The sequence below is a fragment of the Homo sapiens genome, chromosome 4 (genome assembly GCF_000001405.40).
Source record: "Homo sapiens chromosome 4, GRCh38.p14 Primary Assembly".
Lineage (NCBI taxonomy): Eukaryota > Metazoa > Chordata > Mammalia > Primates > Hominidae > Homo > Homo sapiens.
Window position 1 is genome coordinate 120845525 of NC_000004.12, and position 17320 is coordinate 120862844.

The 17320-nt window shown below is 37.1% G+C and overlaps 1 protein-coding gene across 22 annotated transcripts in view; it reads right to left on the reverse strand.

Annotated features, from left to right (window-relative positions):
• Positions 1-17320, reverse strand: part of PRDM5 (PR/SET domain 5) — a 238436-nt gene that overhangs the window by 161234 nt on the left and 59882 nt on the right. For all 22 annotated transcript variants that reach the window (XR_938678.2, XR_938680.3, XR_938679.2 and 19 more), the window contains exon 3: positions 7894-8016. Coding sequence is in view for 19 of the 22 variants with exons in the window: in XM_047449558.1 (XP_047305514.1) it covers positions 7894-8016 (123 nt within the window). In the remaining 3 variants the exon portion in view is untranslated. The remainder of the gene's footprint in view (positions 1-7893; positions 8017-17320) is intronic.

Below are 17320 nucleotides of genomic sequence, written 5' to 3' on the forward strand. Positions count from 1 at the left end.
CTGAATATTTTAAGCCCACTTCTGAAAACTACTGCTCATTTGAGAAATTCCTTTCAAAATAACACTGCCATTGACAAGGCACCTGGTCACCCAAGAGCTCTGATGGAGTGTTCAAGAAGATGAATGTTTTAATTCCTGCTAAGACAACATCCATTCTGCAGCCCATGGATCAAGGATAAATTTCGACTTTCAAATATTATTTCTGAAACACACTTCATAAGGCTATTGCTGTCACAGTGATTCCTCTGGTAGACCTGAGCAAAGTAAATTGAAAACCTTCTGGAAAGGATTGACATTCTAAATGCCATTAAGAACATGTGTGATTCATGAGATGAGAGCAAAATATCAACATGAACAGAAGTTTAGAAGTCAATTCCAACCCTCATGGATGACTTTGAGGTGTTCAAAACTTCAGGAGAAGTAACTGCAGATGTGATGGAAATACCAAGAAAACTAACTAGACTTAGAAGTGAGACCTGAAGATGTGAAGTGAGGCCTGAAGATGTGACTAAATTGATGTAATCTCATGATAAAACTTGTATAGATGAGGAGTTGCTCCTTACAGATGAACAAAGAAAGTAGTTTCCTTCGATAGAATCTACTCCTGGTGAAGATGCTGTGAACATTGTTGAAATGACAGCAAAGAATTTCAAATATGACATAAACTTATCTGATAAAGCAACAGCAGGGTTTGAGAAGACTGACTCCAATTTTTAAAGTTCTACTGTGGATAAAATGCTATCAAAAAGCAAAGCATGCTACACAGAAACCTTTTGTGAAAGGAAAAGTCAATTGATGCAGCAAACTTCATTGTTGTCTTATTTAAGAAATTACCACAGCCACCCTAGCCTTCAGCAACCACCACCCTGATCAATCAGCAGCCATCAACATCAGGGTGAGACACTTCACCAGCAAAAAGATTCTAACTCATTGAAGGCTCAGATAATCATTAACACATTTTAGCAATAAAGTATTCTTTAAAGATATGTGTATTTTTTAGACATAATGCTACTGCACACTTAATAGACAACAGTATAGTATAAATATAACGTTTACATGCACTGTGAAACCAAAGATGTTATGGTGTTTTACTGAGATACTCACTTTCTTGGAGTGGACTGGAATGAAACCCAGAGCATCCCCAGGTGTGTAGAGGCTAAGTGTTTTGCATATATTATCTCATTTAATTTAGTCCTCACAAAAATCCAATAAAGTAAGCATTATTACAATCAACTCATAAAGAAGAGCAGTTTTAAAGGTTATTTTTACTGCTATGAAGGCAAGAGCTAGATCATCTTTTTAGTCATAGTATCTCCAGTGCTCAGCATTGGGCCTGGTACGTAGCAGATGCTCCATAGCTATGGGTTGAATGAATGAGTTAAGTAACTTACTCAGCCAGCAAAAGTCAGAGCCCGGGATCTACTTAAAGTCCTTCAGACAACAAAGTTCATGCTCTTTCTACTGCTTGAAACTGCCTTTCTTAATATTATCCAAACTGGGTTGGGTTCTGCATTCCTTCTGAGTCTGTATCAAGTGTTTGCCTTTTCCATTTACTCTAACCTTATTCCATCCTTACATAAAGTATATTCTCCCCACTGATCACTGCTGTAGCTTGAAGACAGATGTCTCAACCTCTAGGATGTCTCGACTTCTGGTATCCAGACCATCATGTAGTCCCTTCCTACACTGTGCCAAGGTTGGCCTGTGTGACTAATAGTATTCAACAGAAGTGATGCTGTGGAACGTTATTTCCAAGATTAGGTTATAAAAGGTTGCAGCTCCCCCTTTTTCTCTCTTTCTCTCTCTCTCTCACTCATTTTTGCTCTCACTCTTTCTCATCACCCTCTCTGGGAGAAGCAGGCTGTCAAGTCCTGAGCAACCCCAGAGAGAGCCCCAGTTCAGTGGTGAAGAACTGAAGCCTCCTGCCATGTGACAGACCTTGGACACAGAATCTCCAGCCTAATCAAGTCTTCACAGACTTCAATCAAGTTTTCCCTGGCTGACCACTTGACAGCAACCTCATGAAAGTCCTTGAACCAGAACCCCAGAACCACTCAGCTAAGTTGCTCCTAAATTCCTGACCCTTACAAATTGTATAAAATCATACTGCATGTTTGTTATTTTAAGCTGTTAAAATTTGGGGTAAATTTGTTACATAACGATGGATAACTACTACAATCATAAATACATACCAATAAGACAGGCTAGATGAAAGTCATTCTGCAAATAACTCAAAAGTCATACTCTAATAAACGTGACTGACAGAACCTTCATATTAGTCAAAGATAAGGTTATAAAAGATTCTGTTTTACCGCTGGGTGAGACATGGATACTGGGAAGCAGGATTGGTCTTCAATAGAAGTAGAAAAGGTAACTTCCTCTATGGTTCCTAGGACGAGAGGCACAGAAAGTCCCACCTAATTAAAACTTTCCTCTACACCCAACCTGACAGGCTCTGATTCTGAAATTTTACTACAGTGTATTATAATAATAATTTCAAGAGATCTAAATGTTACCTTTATCACATTTTTAGCACATTAGCTAGCAGCTAAAATGAGGCAAGAGGAGACAAAAGGAAAAAGAAACAAGAATAGATGTTGCCTAGGCATGATCTGTATATGAAGAAGAAGCAGGTGCAATGCTTTATAATGGATTAAGGACAGTTTGGGAACATAAAAAAATCAAGGGATACATAACATAAATAACTTAAAATATATATTTTAAAATTAACCTGCTTTGAAAATTGTCAGTAGTTTCAAAAATATCTAATACCAAGTTCAGAAACATGAAAGATTTTTAAGATCTGAATTTACATTTTTAAAAAGTAATCTCAACTTTAAGGCATTACAACACAGGGGTTAAAAGAGTGGACAATGAAGACATATAATCTGGATTCAAATCAAACCCAGTCACTCACTTGCTGTGTGGTCTCAAGCAAGTTACTTAGATGCTCTTGAGAGTCAGTATCCTTATCTGACAAAGGAAGATGAAAATTATATAATAATATCTTTCTCATACAGTCACAGTAAATAGTTAATAAATACATTAATAAGTGAATAACTGCTAACTGGCATGCAGTAAGCATTCAGTAAGTGTTAGCTGCCATCATCATCATTTTAAGGATTAACACAGATTTCAACTTTACCACTATAAATAACTTAAGAATATTCCTATAAATGCAAATTTGCCCTGTCAATAAGCTACAAAATTAATGAAAATAATATTGATAAGTAATAAAATTCCCCACATAAGACCAAAGTAGAGCAGGTATTTAAAAACTCACGGGACCAATTGCATTTTTACTTTAGTTTAAAATGTTACCCTAATAAAATACAAATGCAGACCTTACTGGAAGATAACCTATTAAAAGATAGATCTGTAAGTTATTTAACTGTTATTTTTATGTTATTATTGAAGAAAATCACTAGACAGCTGTACTTTATCATTTTGTGACAGATTCTTAAAAAAATTCTAAAAATGCCACTTGTATAAATCTGGTAAGAAAAAACAGAAATAGGAAAGATAGAGAACTGGAAAAGCCATCATTTTGCACATAAGTAATAAATCCTTTTGGTATTTATTTTTGTTGGTTGCTTAGTTGGTACTGCTGCTATTTGAATTCTGTATCAACATTATTTGTTACTCCTATGGATCTTGGTAGCTTAGTGACAATGGAGAATGTCTTATCTGTGCTTGGAAAACAAAGTTGCTTCTCTCTTTAGAGATCCACATGTGATTTTCCAGCTCTGTCATATTTAAATTTCACGTGTCGCCAGAGAAGACCCCAGGATAAATTGTTTATGACTATCCATCCTCAGGCAAGGCAGAGAAAGGAGGTTCAATAATCTGTGACAAAATAACTGCTGGTAATGAGCATTCTAAACTGACAGCAGAATTGGGGCAGAGCTGTGAGAATATCTTGGCTCAATACCCAGTGCCTTCTCACCTCATTTAGACCATCCTCACATCCTGACACCCCTCATGAAGTGCACCAGGACCCAAATGTTTTTACCCAAATGTTTTTACCTTTTTATGTAAATCGATAAGTATGGCAACTAGTCACAGAAAAGACATGCCTGAAAATATGGGCTTAAGAATATGAGATGTAGCACTCCATCTCTGAAATGTTCAAATAATTAATAGTTTCAACTGTAAGTGGCATAAAATATTCATCTTCTATCAAAAGAACAGAAATTTTTAAGAGCCTGCAAAACACAAACTAGGTCAAAAATATTTTTAAGCTACATATACATTTTTTTCCTTTAGTGCAACAAAATTAGCATTTAATAAGAATCACCCACTTCCTATGGAGCTTAAGGATATTTTAGTTCATTTTAAGCCACAACTTTCACATTTAGAATTTTCTAGCCATAGTTGGAAACTTTTCAGAAGTCTGAACATACAGTTAAATGATTATTCTGAAAAGTGTGCATGTGGGAAGAACTGTTTGCTTACTAGATCCGTCTTTGATAATTCAGATACTTAAGTCATCATTTGCAAAGCAAATTTTTCAAAATCAAATAAATTGCAAAACTAGAAATATAATCAAGTCTCCAAGAAGGAGTTCCAATTATCTGCCAAAACAGACCTCAACTTCATAATCCCTTGTCCAAAAAAGTTGGACCAAGTATTGACGTTTTCCACCGAGCAAGCCACATAGTCACAAATGTTTCTCATTTACTCCACTCCTGGGATATACAGCTCAAATAAAAAATTTCCTGAATACCCCAAACTTCAGATGCAATTTGGAATGCAAGTGATTCATAATGTTATGCAGGAAACATCATGACCTTACCAACTCAATGTTTCTGGAATGCAATCTTTAGGAGATCATTCCAACCAATTAGAAGGCTGAAATCTCTTTCAGCCACGTGACCCAACTATTATGCTCTCTGCCTTTAGCTCAGATGTGATTTTGAACCCTCAGCAATCCTCTACTCCAGCTACTGTTCAAAATAAGAAAGATGTTACCTCAAGGGAGCTAACAAAGATCCCTATTGTAATCTATGACAAAAAATATGGTAGCAGTGCACTGCATCCCTATTAAGAAAGTGCAAAACAGTGTTAAAAGAAATGAAAGCCACTGTCATTGCTCTGCACCAAAAGCCTCTCAGAGTGGCTTCTGAACATACTTAGATTATAATTCAAGAGTGAAATTTCAGAGAGCCCACCAGTTACATAAGTCCTGTTCTAATCCCCCCTCACTCCTCTTGTTAAGTCATTAATAATTTCTTGGAGTACCTGTCATCTTTTGTGATTTATATTTTCTTTCAAGGAAAAAACACAGTTGATATAGAGGAAGAAAAGTACTGCGTGGAATGTACTAAATGAACATGAAAACTGTAAGTCTTAGACAATGTGATTACTGAAAATGAGCGAAGTGCCTACAATATGATAACATACAGGGCATAGTAGAGTAGCAGAGTAAATGGTGAAAGATCAAGGTATAAATACTTATTGACACTGTTTTCCATTAACTAAAGGGATCATTACAAGTAAGATGTTCAGTTAAGGGGAACTCCTAAACAAGTATTACCTAAGTAAATATAAGATGAAACTCACATAACACTTTGTAAGTTTAGGCAAAGAAAGAGACCTACTGATTCTACAGAAATAATAGGCAATAGGAAGACATTTCTGAAACTGAAGGAATTTGGAGAAGGCTTAAAATCATTATTTACACCTGAAAAGAAAAACCATCTAGCATAAATAATATTCTCCACAATCACAATGATGGAGAACCTACCAAAACAATGGGTTGGCTTAAGGTAAATTCATGGCTCTATAGGCAATTTTAATAATAGTAACATTTACAAAGAAACAAACTGAGTCCGTAAATTAAAATATTGACATAAATGATGTTCTCATGGATGAGTTTGCCTCAGAAAGCCATGAAAAAATATATAAACACTTGGAAAAAAATAATGTCTACATGTTGAAAAAGAAAAAAAAAAAAAACATCAGTTTAAACTTGTGGTTGGATCAATGGCCATCATGAATAATTGGAAAAGTGGCTTGAATATCCCCGGCTGCCAGAGATCCTATTTTCCATGTCACCTCAGCTGTTTAGTAAGAGTCATCTCTCATGTATCCATGCAAAAAGGGACAGTAGTCACATTGATTATCTAATACTCATTTGTACTGAAAAAAATTGTTTAGATGACATTAGGAAATTAAGTAGTCTAGATGACTGTTTGCTAGTTACTTTAAAACTTAATTCTGTGCCTTTTCCTTCTTGCTACTGTTGATTTTATATTGAGAATTGAATGAAATCAGTGTAATGTCAACAAATTGTCAAACTATCAGAATTTCTACGAATAAATGACCACATGTATATGAAGCTTCTTGAACAGTGTACATGGTAGATTCTCAAATACTGTTCATGTCTTATTCTTTTCCCTTCCCCTCTTACTTTTGCCAACCATAGCTTTACTTCCTCTTCTGAAGTTTAGAATCCAGGAAGATGAGCTTTCACATGTAATCAGTCAATTATCTGCCAGAATTTAATGTTTCCTTATTCTTTTGGTCATCTGATCAATGTGTTTTAGAGAAGCCCTAACTATAGGGCTCCTCTAAAAACTATATCGTTTTCTCTTCTTGCCTTATTTTCCACTGAGGGATCACCTAAGTTCAACTCATAGTTTGTATCAAAACCTAATGTTTTGTCCAGCAGTATGCTAGGATACAGGGAAATGGAATTCAATAAAACACGGTTCCCACCAGTGATGGTTAACTTTACATGTTAACTTGACTAGGCTACAGGGTCCCAGATAGTTGGTCAAACATTATTCTGGGTGTTTCTGTAAGGGTGTTTTTGGAAAAGATTAACATTTAAATCAGGAGACTTGAATAAAGTATATTGCCCTCCATAATGTGGGTGGGCCTCATCCAATCATGCTGAGTCCTGAATCAAACAAAAGGCTGACCTACCCCAGAGTAAGAGAGAATTCTCCTAACAGCCTGCAACCTGGAACGCTAGCTCTTCTTGCCTGATGGGTTTCCAAGTGGGATATCAGCTCTTCCTGGTTCTATAGCAGCTTCTGGCCATTAGACTTAAACTGGTACATCAGCAATGTAGATTTTAAACTTACCAGCTCCTATAATCATTGTGAGGTAATCCCCTATTTTATATATACGTATATATACACACATACATAAACATATACATGTATACACACATATATACACACATATACAAATACATATATACACACAACCATATATATATTTTTATATATTTTTTATATTAAAAAAAGGATATATAAGGATATATCCTTTCTTTTTTTTTTTTTGGAGCCATAGTCTTGCTCTGTTGCCCAGGTTGAAGTGGAACAGCATCTTCATGGCTCACTGCAGCCTTGACCTCTCGGGCTCAAGTGATCCTACCACCTTAGCCTCTCAAAATACTGAGATCACAGACGTGAGCCACTGCACCTGTTTCTCTGGGAAACCCTGACTAACACACCACCTCCGACAAGCTCAAAGCCTGGTCACAGGGAATATCCCCAAGTAAACCTTCTCCATAAAGCCTTTCCCAAACACTAACAGAGGGTATAGTACTATGAACAAAATAAACTATCAAACAAATTAAAATATCAATGAATATTCACTGAATGAAATAAAAGTACCTGAAAGCGAGATCTGCCAAGGACAATATCAGACTGTGTAATTCATTCCCTCAGGAATTCTCATAAAGTAAGTACCCTGGTGTTAGTTTACAGCTAGGCTTGCCCTTTCCTACATATGCTGACTAGATGAGATTTCTCTGCTTTTATGAGTTACTGTTATTTGAAGGAGGTCATTGGGAAACAAATTTAAAACAGGGAGTACAGTCATATATTAATTCATCCCCCCTCACAGTGCATAGTACAAATGAGAAGCAAATAAGCTCACTTGAATGGCAGCCAAGTTCTTCTGCTCCTGAGATGGTGCCTCATGAACGAAGCGAAGCCAGTTGGAGTGCCGTGGGTTGGTAGCATCCAAAATGTACAAAACTTCTCCCTTACTCCCACGAACCTGAAACATTAAAGGCTCCTGAGTTTACAATGGAAGTCAGAATATTAGCCTTTAAACACATCAAGGTTAGGACATGACGTTTTTTCATAAGTATATACCTTTTTTATTGATGGGTGATAAATAGAAGTTGGACTAACATGCATTCTTCTCTTAAACACATGTAGAAATACAGCCTACTATTTCATTTGGCAGATGTCTAGATGACTCACAATTGCAATGAACTCTCAGAAACATCCTACGTTGATAGTTGTTTTCTGGTCAAAATTATTTCGGTTTGTAAGTATATTCCAGTATATGTATTGCAATCACAATTGTTCAGAGAATAATCATTATTGCAACCTTCCCCTTTTCTCCAAAGAGAAGGGTCATACTGCTTATTTCCCAGTTGAGAGGGGTAGAACTGGAGCAATCATTTCAATTCCTCTCTGGACCTGCTTACAGAATCATCTCCATAAAAGGAGAACCTGCTCATCTAGCCAGCGGGAATCTGACATCCAATGAAACAAAATGTTATGCTCTTTACTTGTGAATGAATGAAACAATCCCATTTTATCCTTTCATGGCCCACTCATGGATTGCTGAGGATGGTGGGCTCTCTGATTTTTGTCTCAGACCATACGCTCTCATTGCTCAGGCCTACTCTACATTCAACTGGAGAGAGGAGGGGAGTAACTCCAAAAGCAGGTAACCCATTGGACATTCTTGAACCCAAGTTACTTGAAATCTAGCTTCTCCAAAACCCCTGCATTATCAGTTGCTAGGGACTTGCCCAGTTTATAAAACTTATATACCAATCACCATTCAACTCTGATTTCATGTTTCTATTCCATTAGAATCCAGAAAAAAAAGGAAAGGAGTGAGTGATTAGCACTCCATATCTCCAACACCAAGTAACACGAACATACAGGTTACAAATTCACCTTGGCAGACTTGATAAGAATTCTAGATTTCCAAAATTTTATTTTATAAAATAAAAGACAATCAGTCCAATAAGGTATGTATTTTCATGCTACATCTGAACAATCATTTGTTCATTCAACAAACAATTATTGGGTCCTTAATGGCTGAAGGCATCAAGAATCTTTCAGTGAACAAGACAAAGCCCCAGAGCACATGGAACTTAAAAGTAAACAAATGTAGAATATAATTTCGTGTAAAGATGAGTACTATGATGACAACTAAAACAGAGCAGGAGAAAATAGAGTACTAAGAGAAGGGCTCTATTCCATGAGGCCATCAGGAAAAGCCCTTTGATGAGAGGACCTTAAGAGTTCTAAAGGGAGGGAACAGGCCAGTAGAGAGCTAGGGGAAGACTGTTTCCAAGCAGAGGGTACAGCAAGTGAAAGGCAAGGAGAAAGGCCTTCGGTTTGGAAATGAATTAGGTGCATTCAAAGAACAATAAGAAGGTTATGAGGCTGGAACAGAAGGAGCAACCGAGAAAGTGGTGGGCATTGAGATCTAACAGATTGGCAGACACCAGATCATGCGGGGACCAACAGACCAGGAATCCATCTAGACAGTTACTTTGGGCAGGTACAGTTATTTTTACCCAAAAAACATTTTAAAGACACATCTGTTACAGGCACTGCAAAAACTGATATTTAAAGATTCTCATATATAATACCCAGGAAAGAATACAGTCTGCCTGTTCCTTATATGTGACATACTGCCATGTTTCTCAAACAATTCCTGTTTTCTTAAGTGCCCAAGGATCCTCAATAATGAATGCCAGACCATCACTGGGAAGCACGAATTTAATTTTTCATATTGTAATTTCTAAAAGAGCAATTTAGGACTATAAATACCTCATATTTACATACTTAAGATGCTTATATGTGAAGGTATGGGAATTTGTAACACTTCTCACTAAATAACAAACTCTCACTGAAAAGATCTGCTTTGGGAGGTGCCTGAAAATTGTTCTGCCTCCCTACTTACACTTCGACTCAGAACACTCACTGCCCACTGGGAAATTCCAAAAATGTCCAGCAACACTGATATGGTAAAGAGAATGTACACTCTACACCTCTGCCTCAATGGGCATGTCAGTTCACATTTTTTTGGCAGAGTAAACAAATAATTTTAAATATTTGGATATAAAGTCCTTCCTTTCAGGTACCCTCACAGCAATAGCACCAAAACTGTTTATATTGACAAAAAGCCAAATTAAGCACAGCAGGTGGCAATGCCACCTAATACTTGAAAGAAAAATTTTCTCAGTAGAATTGAAACTGAAAATCTATAACTGTTACTGAAATCCACACAAGCTAACTAACTTTGTGTAGTGAAACACAAATGGGTTTGCCCAGGCATATCTCAGTTTGAGAGGACAGCACTACTTAGAGAAATTAGTTTATGGCCCTTCTTAATCATACATTTGTCACTCAGTAGTAAGCACAATATATATCAGATGTGTTTAACATCTGGAATTCTTTCTTCAAAGATACGAAACAGAAGAAATATTTCTCTGTGACTTATTATAGTAAGAATATTTGAGTTTTTACCAGGGGCATTGTTTGTTCTTTGTGTATTTCAGCTTTTTCCCAGGCCCTTTAGCCCCAACTATGTTCAATTATTCAGTATTAGCAACTTATTTTCCTTTTCAGTCCATTAGACATATGCACTTCCTGTCTATCACTTTCTCACACAATATTCCGTCTTAAGGGAAATACATAATTTGATTTTATACTAAAACTATTCTGAAATGTATCACTTTTAATACACACAAATTTATGTGCTGATTTATCTTTATTCTCAGAACAACACTATCACAACCAGCAATATACTACATTACCTACATATTCATATTTGAAATAACTTTCTTTGTTCATTAACAGAATCACTGCCCATTTTATTCCAAATATGCTTACCCAAACAACTTTTAAGTTCTTAGAGAGTCTTTGCTCTCTGGGGCCTGCCTGTTTTCTCCAGCTTTCAAGTGGCTGGCCATTTCCTCATTGCACCAGTCTAGTCTTCAACACTCCACCAAAGCTGGTAGATTACCTGTGCACACGACTTTTATCTCACTACCCTAAACACAGAGTTCGCCTTGCTGACATATCATCTGAAAGAGACATCCAAAAGTAATCTAATCCATCATTCCTCTTCCCAGAGACACCAAATCAAAACAACTCCAGACAGCTGGCTATTATTAAAGTCTCCATTTATCTATTTTAATTTGATACTGAACCCTGAGGTAATAAATTGAACATTTTTTAAATCTAAGGAATAAAAAAGACTGAAAATTCCTCCTAGTACCATGTTTCAGCATCTCCCTAATTTTTGCTGCCAAAGTGTATTATGTTACTGTCAAGACTTAGTCTTCCAAATACCATCTTCTTTTATTTGAATTTTCTTGGAAATGAAGTGTATTTGGTTACTATCTGACTTAGGATCATCTTCTGCATACCTGGGGCCAATGATGAAGTCAACAGTCTCATCGTGTAGTAAAAACCACCTCAGTTCGAAAACCTGTTTGATTTGCACAGGCTTCCTACAGTAGTTACACAAAAAGGTTAGCTAAAGTAGGAAACATGCCAGGAAGGTGGCTCACACCTGTAATCCCAGCACTTCAGGAGGACAAGGTGGGCAGATCACCTGAGGGTAGGAGTTTGAGACCAGCCTGGCCAATATATAGTAAAACCCCATCTCTATTAAAAAATACGAAAATTAGCTGGTGTGGTGGCACATGCCTATAGTCCCAGCTATTTGGGAAGCTGAGGCAGGAGAATCACTTGAACCCGGGAGGCAGAAGTTGCTGTGAACCGAGATCACGCCACTGCACTCCAGCCTGGGAAACAGAGCAAGACTCTATCTCTCAAAGTAAAATAAAATAAAGTAGGAAAGGGAAAGATACCTTCTTGTGAAAATGAAAACTTTTATGCTTCAATATAATTGTTCATGTCTGTATGACTTTGCTGCTTCACATTTAATGAAATTATTCCCTTATGGGAACTTGGCAGGGTCTAGCCTCTGTTGAATGCTACTGACGTCACTTTTCAAGTATCTGAGAGAAATAATGTGCTGGTCATTGCTACCATGTATCTGTACCTTTTTTCAGCCTAAAAGTTCACAACATTGAATATGTCATAGTTGATTTTGTGTTTCCACCCAGAAAAAGACAGAGGAAACCACAAAAAATCTCAGCTCAATTACAGAAAACCCTAACGTGTAAATGAAAGAAGAAAGTGGAAATAGGGAGCAGGGGAGAGAGATACAAATCTTCTTTCCCTAAACTTAAATATTTTATTTGTTAAATTGGGTCAACTATAGACAGAGAAGCTCAATTATTATTTGGATGGTTAATTTTCAAAGACGAGTCTACAATGTTGCTTACTCTATTATTTTCCTTCAATCATTTCAAATGCCTAAGGAATTTTTCACTAACTATATACATTCCATCAAGGCTCCAAGAGCAAAGCCAGTCAGCCAGATTTGCCCCCCAGAAGTGGCAAAATGTAACTGATAGATAAAATTTGATTTAATGTATGGTAAAATGTAATGGCAGCAAATACAGTCAGTTCCAAAAAAGACAGCAATAATATCCTTAATGAAAAATTACAATACGTTATGTTACAGTATTATTTATTAAATAAAACATATTTCCCTTTTTGTCTTTCAACAAGGCTCTTCAAAGAAAGCAGTTTTAAGCACTAAAATTTAGAGTATGGATGTCTTTAGAGTATAAAATGCCACCATGTTTTTGTATTTAAATTACAGGCATTCTTTCTGCAATTGTTTTTAACTAAAGTAAGGCCATATGCCTTGCCTTCAGTGTTTAATTATCCAGACTTCAGGATATCTTTAGGAGCACAAAAAAGCAAGTGTGCTCAAGTAGTCAATTCTGACGGCACATTGTTTGTCAGATTTAAACCAAAGGGAGACACACTTTCAGAAATCAGCAATGATCATAGCTAGGAAACTGTAGTGATTTATAGTTTCCAAGAAAAGGGCATGGGTTTTATTCCCCCACTGATTGTTCAAAGGATTCTCTCTAAAATTACTATTTGCTTGTGTGTGCTTATGAACGCGTGCGTGCGCGCGCACGCACGCACACACACACACACCATTGTAGCTTATCTACTTATAACTCCCTTCTACCTTCCGTCCCTCTGCCTCCCACCTGCTAATTGCTATCTGGTAATCCTAACCCATGGATTCCTCTGCCCTGGGAAAGCAGATGGAGAGGAAATACAGGCATTTACAGATAACTGTTTCTTTACTAAATAACATCCATCATATAATACATACAAAGTTAATATAAAAGTACTGATGAGAAAAATAAAGTCACTTTTTGTGACAAATATTTAAATTTCAAGTGGAAGAAAATCATTCTGGAGTGGTAAAGATGCTAAACTAGGAATCAAAAACCTAGATGTCATCCAAGGCTCTGACTACATCACTTTGGGTGAGTCGTTTCCTCTCACTGAACTAAGCCGTGATCACTTGACCTCTAAAATGGGGACAACAGTTTCTGCCCTGCAAATTCACAGAACCTGTGAGAGCATCAAATGAAATAAAATGCATGACAGTTCTTTATACCAGTGGGTATTTTGCAATCATAAGGTATTAGTAAAATGAGGAAACTGGGCCCACAACGGCTACAGGCACCTTAAATATAAACATTCTGCTTTCAATGGCACAGCTGGGAACATACATACCATGTCAACTTTTTTTTTTTTTTTTTAGAAACAGCATCTCTGTTGCCCAGGCTAGAGGGCAGTGGCACAGCACCATCATGGCTCACTGCAGCCTCAACTTCCTGGGCTCAAAAAATGATTCTCCCATGTTAGCCTCCCAGATAGCTGGGACTGGGACTACAGGTGCATGTCACCTTGCCCGGCTAATAATTTTATTTTATTTTTTATAAAGACAGGGTTTCCCTATATTGCCCAGGCTGGTCTCGAATTCTTGGGCTCAAACAATCCTCCTGCCTTGACCTCCCAAAGTGCTGGGATTACAGGCATGAGTGTTCACACCCAGCCATGTCAGCTTTTTCAAGGAACAAACATAGTACTTTCAAGGAACAAAGATAGTGTTAAGGATATCTTAACACTATTATTCAAATCCAAATACATATTCAAATAGCCTCTAACTGAATATTATAAGGTAGTAGCAAACCCAGATGTCATTTTAGCTGTATTGACACACTTTCTTATGCCAAACTGAAACACCTTGCTCTGTGACCCACTGCCAGTAACTGAAGCTCTGCCCTCTCAAAGAGTTTTAATTTCTCTACCATCTATAGCCCTTCAAATTTCTGAAGGCAAGAATCCCTCCCTCTCTACGTTTCTCTTCCACAAAACAAATAACTCCTTCCTTTTTGGACATGATTTTCAGTTCCATTACTGTCCGGGTTATCCTCATGGGTGCACACAAACTTGTCAAAACCCTCCTAACATGGGACAGAATCCAGCCTGGAAAGGACGATTATGACCTCTGACCTAGGCACTCTTTCTATTGAAGCAGCTTAAAAATCACAAAAGCAATTTTTGGTTGCCACACCTGACATTTAGCTGAGATTACCTTTATAAACAATCCATATTAAGAAAGGTCTCATGATACTGTCAAAGACACAAAGACAAGTATAACTGAAGAACTTGGTCAGGTTTCTGTAGCTAAGCAAATCCTATACCTGGACAACTGACCACTCAGAGAAGGAAGCCTGTTATTTGATACAGTCTCAATAAATATTTTATTAACTAAAAGCTCATATAGTGTGTCTTTTCTTTAACTCTCATTGCCTTTATTTCCTTTAAATGTTCAAAAATATTTTATAAGACACTTAATGTAAAATATTTTAAAGCACTCCATGTCTTTGCCTTTCAAAGTACTTTTTAAATTGGGCTAATTTTTTTTAAAAAAATAAATACCTGACAAAAAATGAAACACATAGTGAAAACCACATCATCTTTTCCACAGCAAATTTATGAAAGCGCCTAAACAGCACAGAAACTGTCCTTTTCTATAGTTTTACGAACCTGTTCAGCTACTCAGATTTCAATGGCATTTCTGGACAGATAGGCTTTTTTATCACATGAAGAATACAACAGTGACCACTTTCTCCCTTCTTGGAAAAAAAAAAAAGAATAAAGTTGAGTTTAACTGACATTAGCTTATTGTACCCATTGTTTTAGGGGTTTTCTGTAAAACATGCTGGTTTTTATGCACGAATGTTACAGCATTTCTCTTAGCTACTTAGTGGCTTATTTGTTTACTTTTTATTTTGTCAATATTGTTAAGCAAGTGACTTCCATAAGCAAAAAGTGTTATTTCACCAAAGTATTAGAAAACCATAATAATAAGGCCAGCATGTCTTCTGACAGTTTGGCAGCATCCACCAGATCCCTCAGCAACGATTCATAAGACTTTAAATCCTGTTAAAGTTTTATGAAGCCTTAGCGTTGCCCAATTTTTAATATAGATTTCAGACCTGCAAAGACTTCTAGCCTTATAGTCATCAGTTATCTCTTTGTTGTTGTTGTTAACATGGAATCTCGCTCTGTGGCCCAGGCTGGAGTGCAGAGGTGCAATCTTGGCTCAGTGCAACCTGTGTCTCCTGGATTCAAGCAATTCTCCAGCCTCAGCCTCCCGAGTAGCTGGGATTACAGATGTGTACCACTTCACATGGCTAATTTTTATGTTTTTGGTAAAGATGGGGTTTTGCCATTTTGCCCAGAATGGTCTCAAACTCCTGACCTCAAGTGATTTGCCGGCCTCAGCCTTCCAAAGTGCTGGGATTATAGGCATGAGCTATCATGACCAGCCTGTAGTCAGCTTTTGGAGAATTTTCCCTACAGCATATTAAAAGAGTTTACAAAAGGTATTAAATATTAATAAGCAATTTTTGGTAGCAAAATTCTAATCATAAAACATGAAATTATTTTAAAGAGTTGGTGGTCATACATAAAGCAATGGCAATATCCCAGATCCAGAGATCACAGTCTTGATGGTGTTTTTAGAAAAAGATGCTTTGGGCTGGGTGTGGTGGCTCACACCTGTAATCTCAGCACTTTGGGAGGCCGAGGCGGGCATATCACTTGAGGTCAGGAATTTGAGACCAGCCTGGCCAACATGGTGAAACCCTGTCTCTACTAAAAATACAAAAATTGGCCAGGCTTGGTGGAGCACGCCTGTAGTCCCAGCTACTCAGGAGGCTGAGGCAGGAGAATCACTTGAACCAGGGAGGTGAAAGCTGCAGCGAGCCAAGATCGTGCCACTGCACTCCAGCCTAGGTGAAGAGCAAGACTCCGTCTCAAAAAAAAAAAGAAAAAACAAAAAAAAAGGAGAAGATGCTTTGTATCTGAAAACTTCTGTGCAAAGGTTATAGAAACACTAAATAACAAAAGAACATCATGTAATCCACAGGGAGAAAAAAATTTTTTTAATCTACTTTTCCTTTGATCTTGATCTCCTAATCCAAATTCCTCTCCTAACTGCATAGTTTTCTAAAGCTATTAAAATTGAATCCACCCAACCCATTTAAATCTAACAGTATTCTCCTCAAAATGTACATAACTTGACAGAGAAACCAATTAATGATCTTAGCATAAAAATGCACCTAAGGCAACCAAATACTTCCCAGTTACTAAGGTAATTCTCATAATCATCCAGCAATCATAGTTCTGTGCTGAAAAATTCTAAAAAGTAACATCCTTTGTCAGTAAACATTTACTGAACAACATTTACTATACATTTCTTTATTGGTTATTTTCAAATGTGCTATGAAAAGCCACAGATGAAATTTTTGAACACAGTTCCTTTACTCAATTTATACCTTCAGTATGAGGAAGCAGAAAACACAATGTTTAAAAAGCTCACAAAGCAATGTACTGATCACTATAAAGGACATACAAATGAACTGCATTCATTTCCAAAATGAATTGGTACAGAAGGGTGTAAAGTAACATACAATGCCAAGTCCTGAGGATGGACCAAGATGAAAAGTAAGAGAGCAGAGAAGAGTGCATTATGAAAAGCTTCCAGTAGAGAGGTACGTCTCTAGAATAAACCTAGCAGGCCTGAGACTGCCAAAAAGTCCTGCCTGTAAGTTTGGCCTTTGGTGGGCATGGGAGAACTTGGCTCTCAGAGTGTTCCCTGTCAATAGTTAACATATCAAGGTGTTTTACTGTGCCTAGACTACTTGTGTAAACAATATGGGTTATGTTGAACACCTGTCTTCCTTCCAGAAGTCTGGAATTTTGGTATATCCTAGGGAGAAGGCATCTATGAGTTTCTAATAAAAATCTTGGGCATTGAATGTTTAATGGGCTTCCTTGTACAGAAACGTCACACATGTATGGCT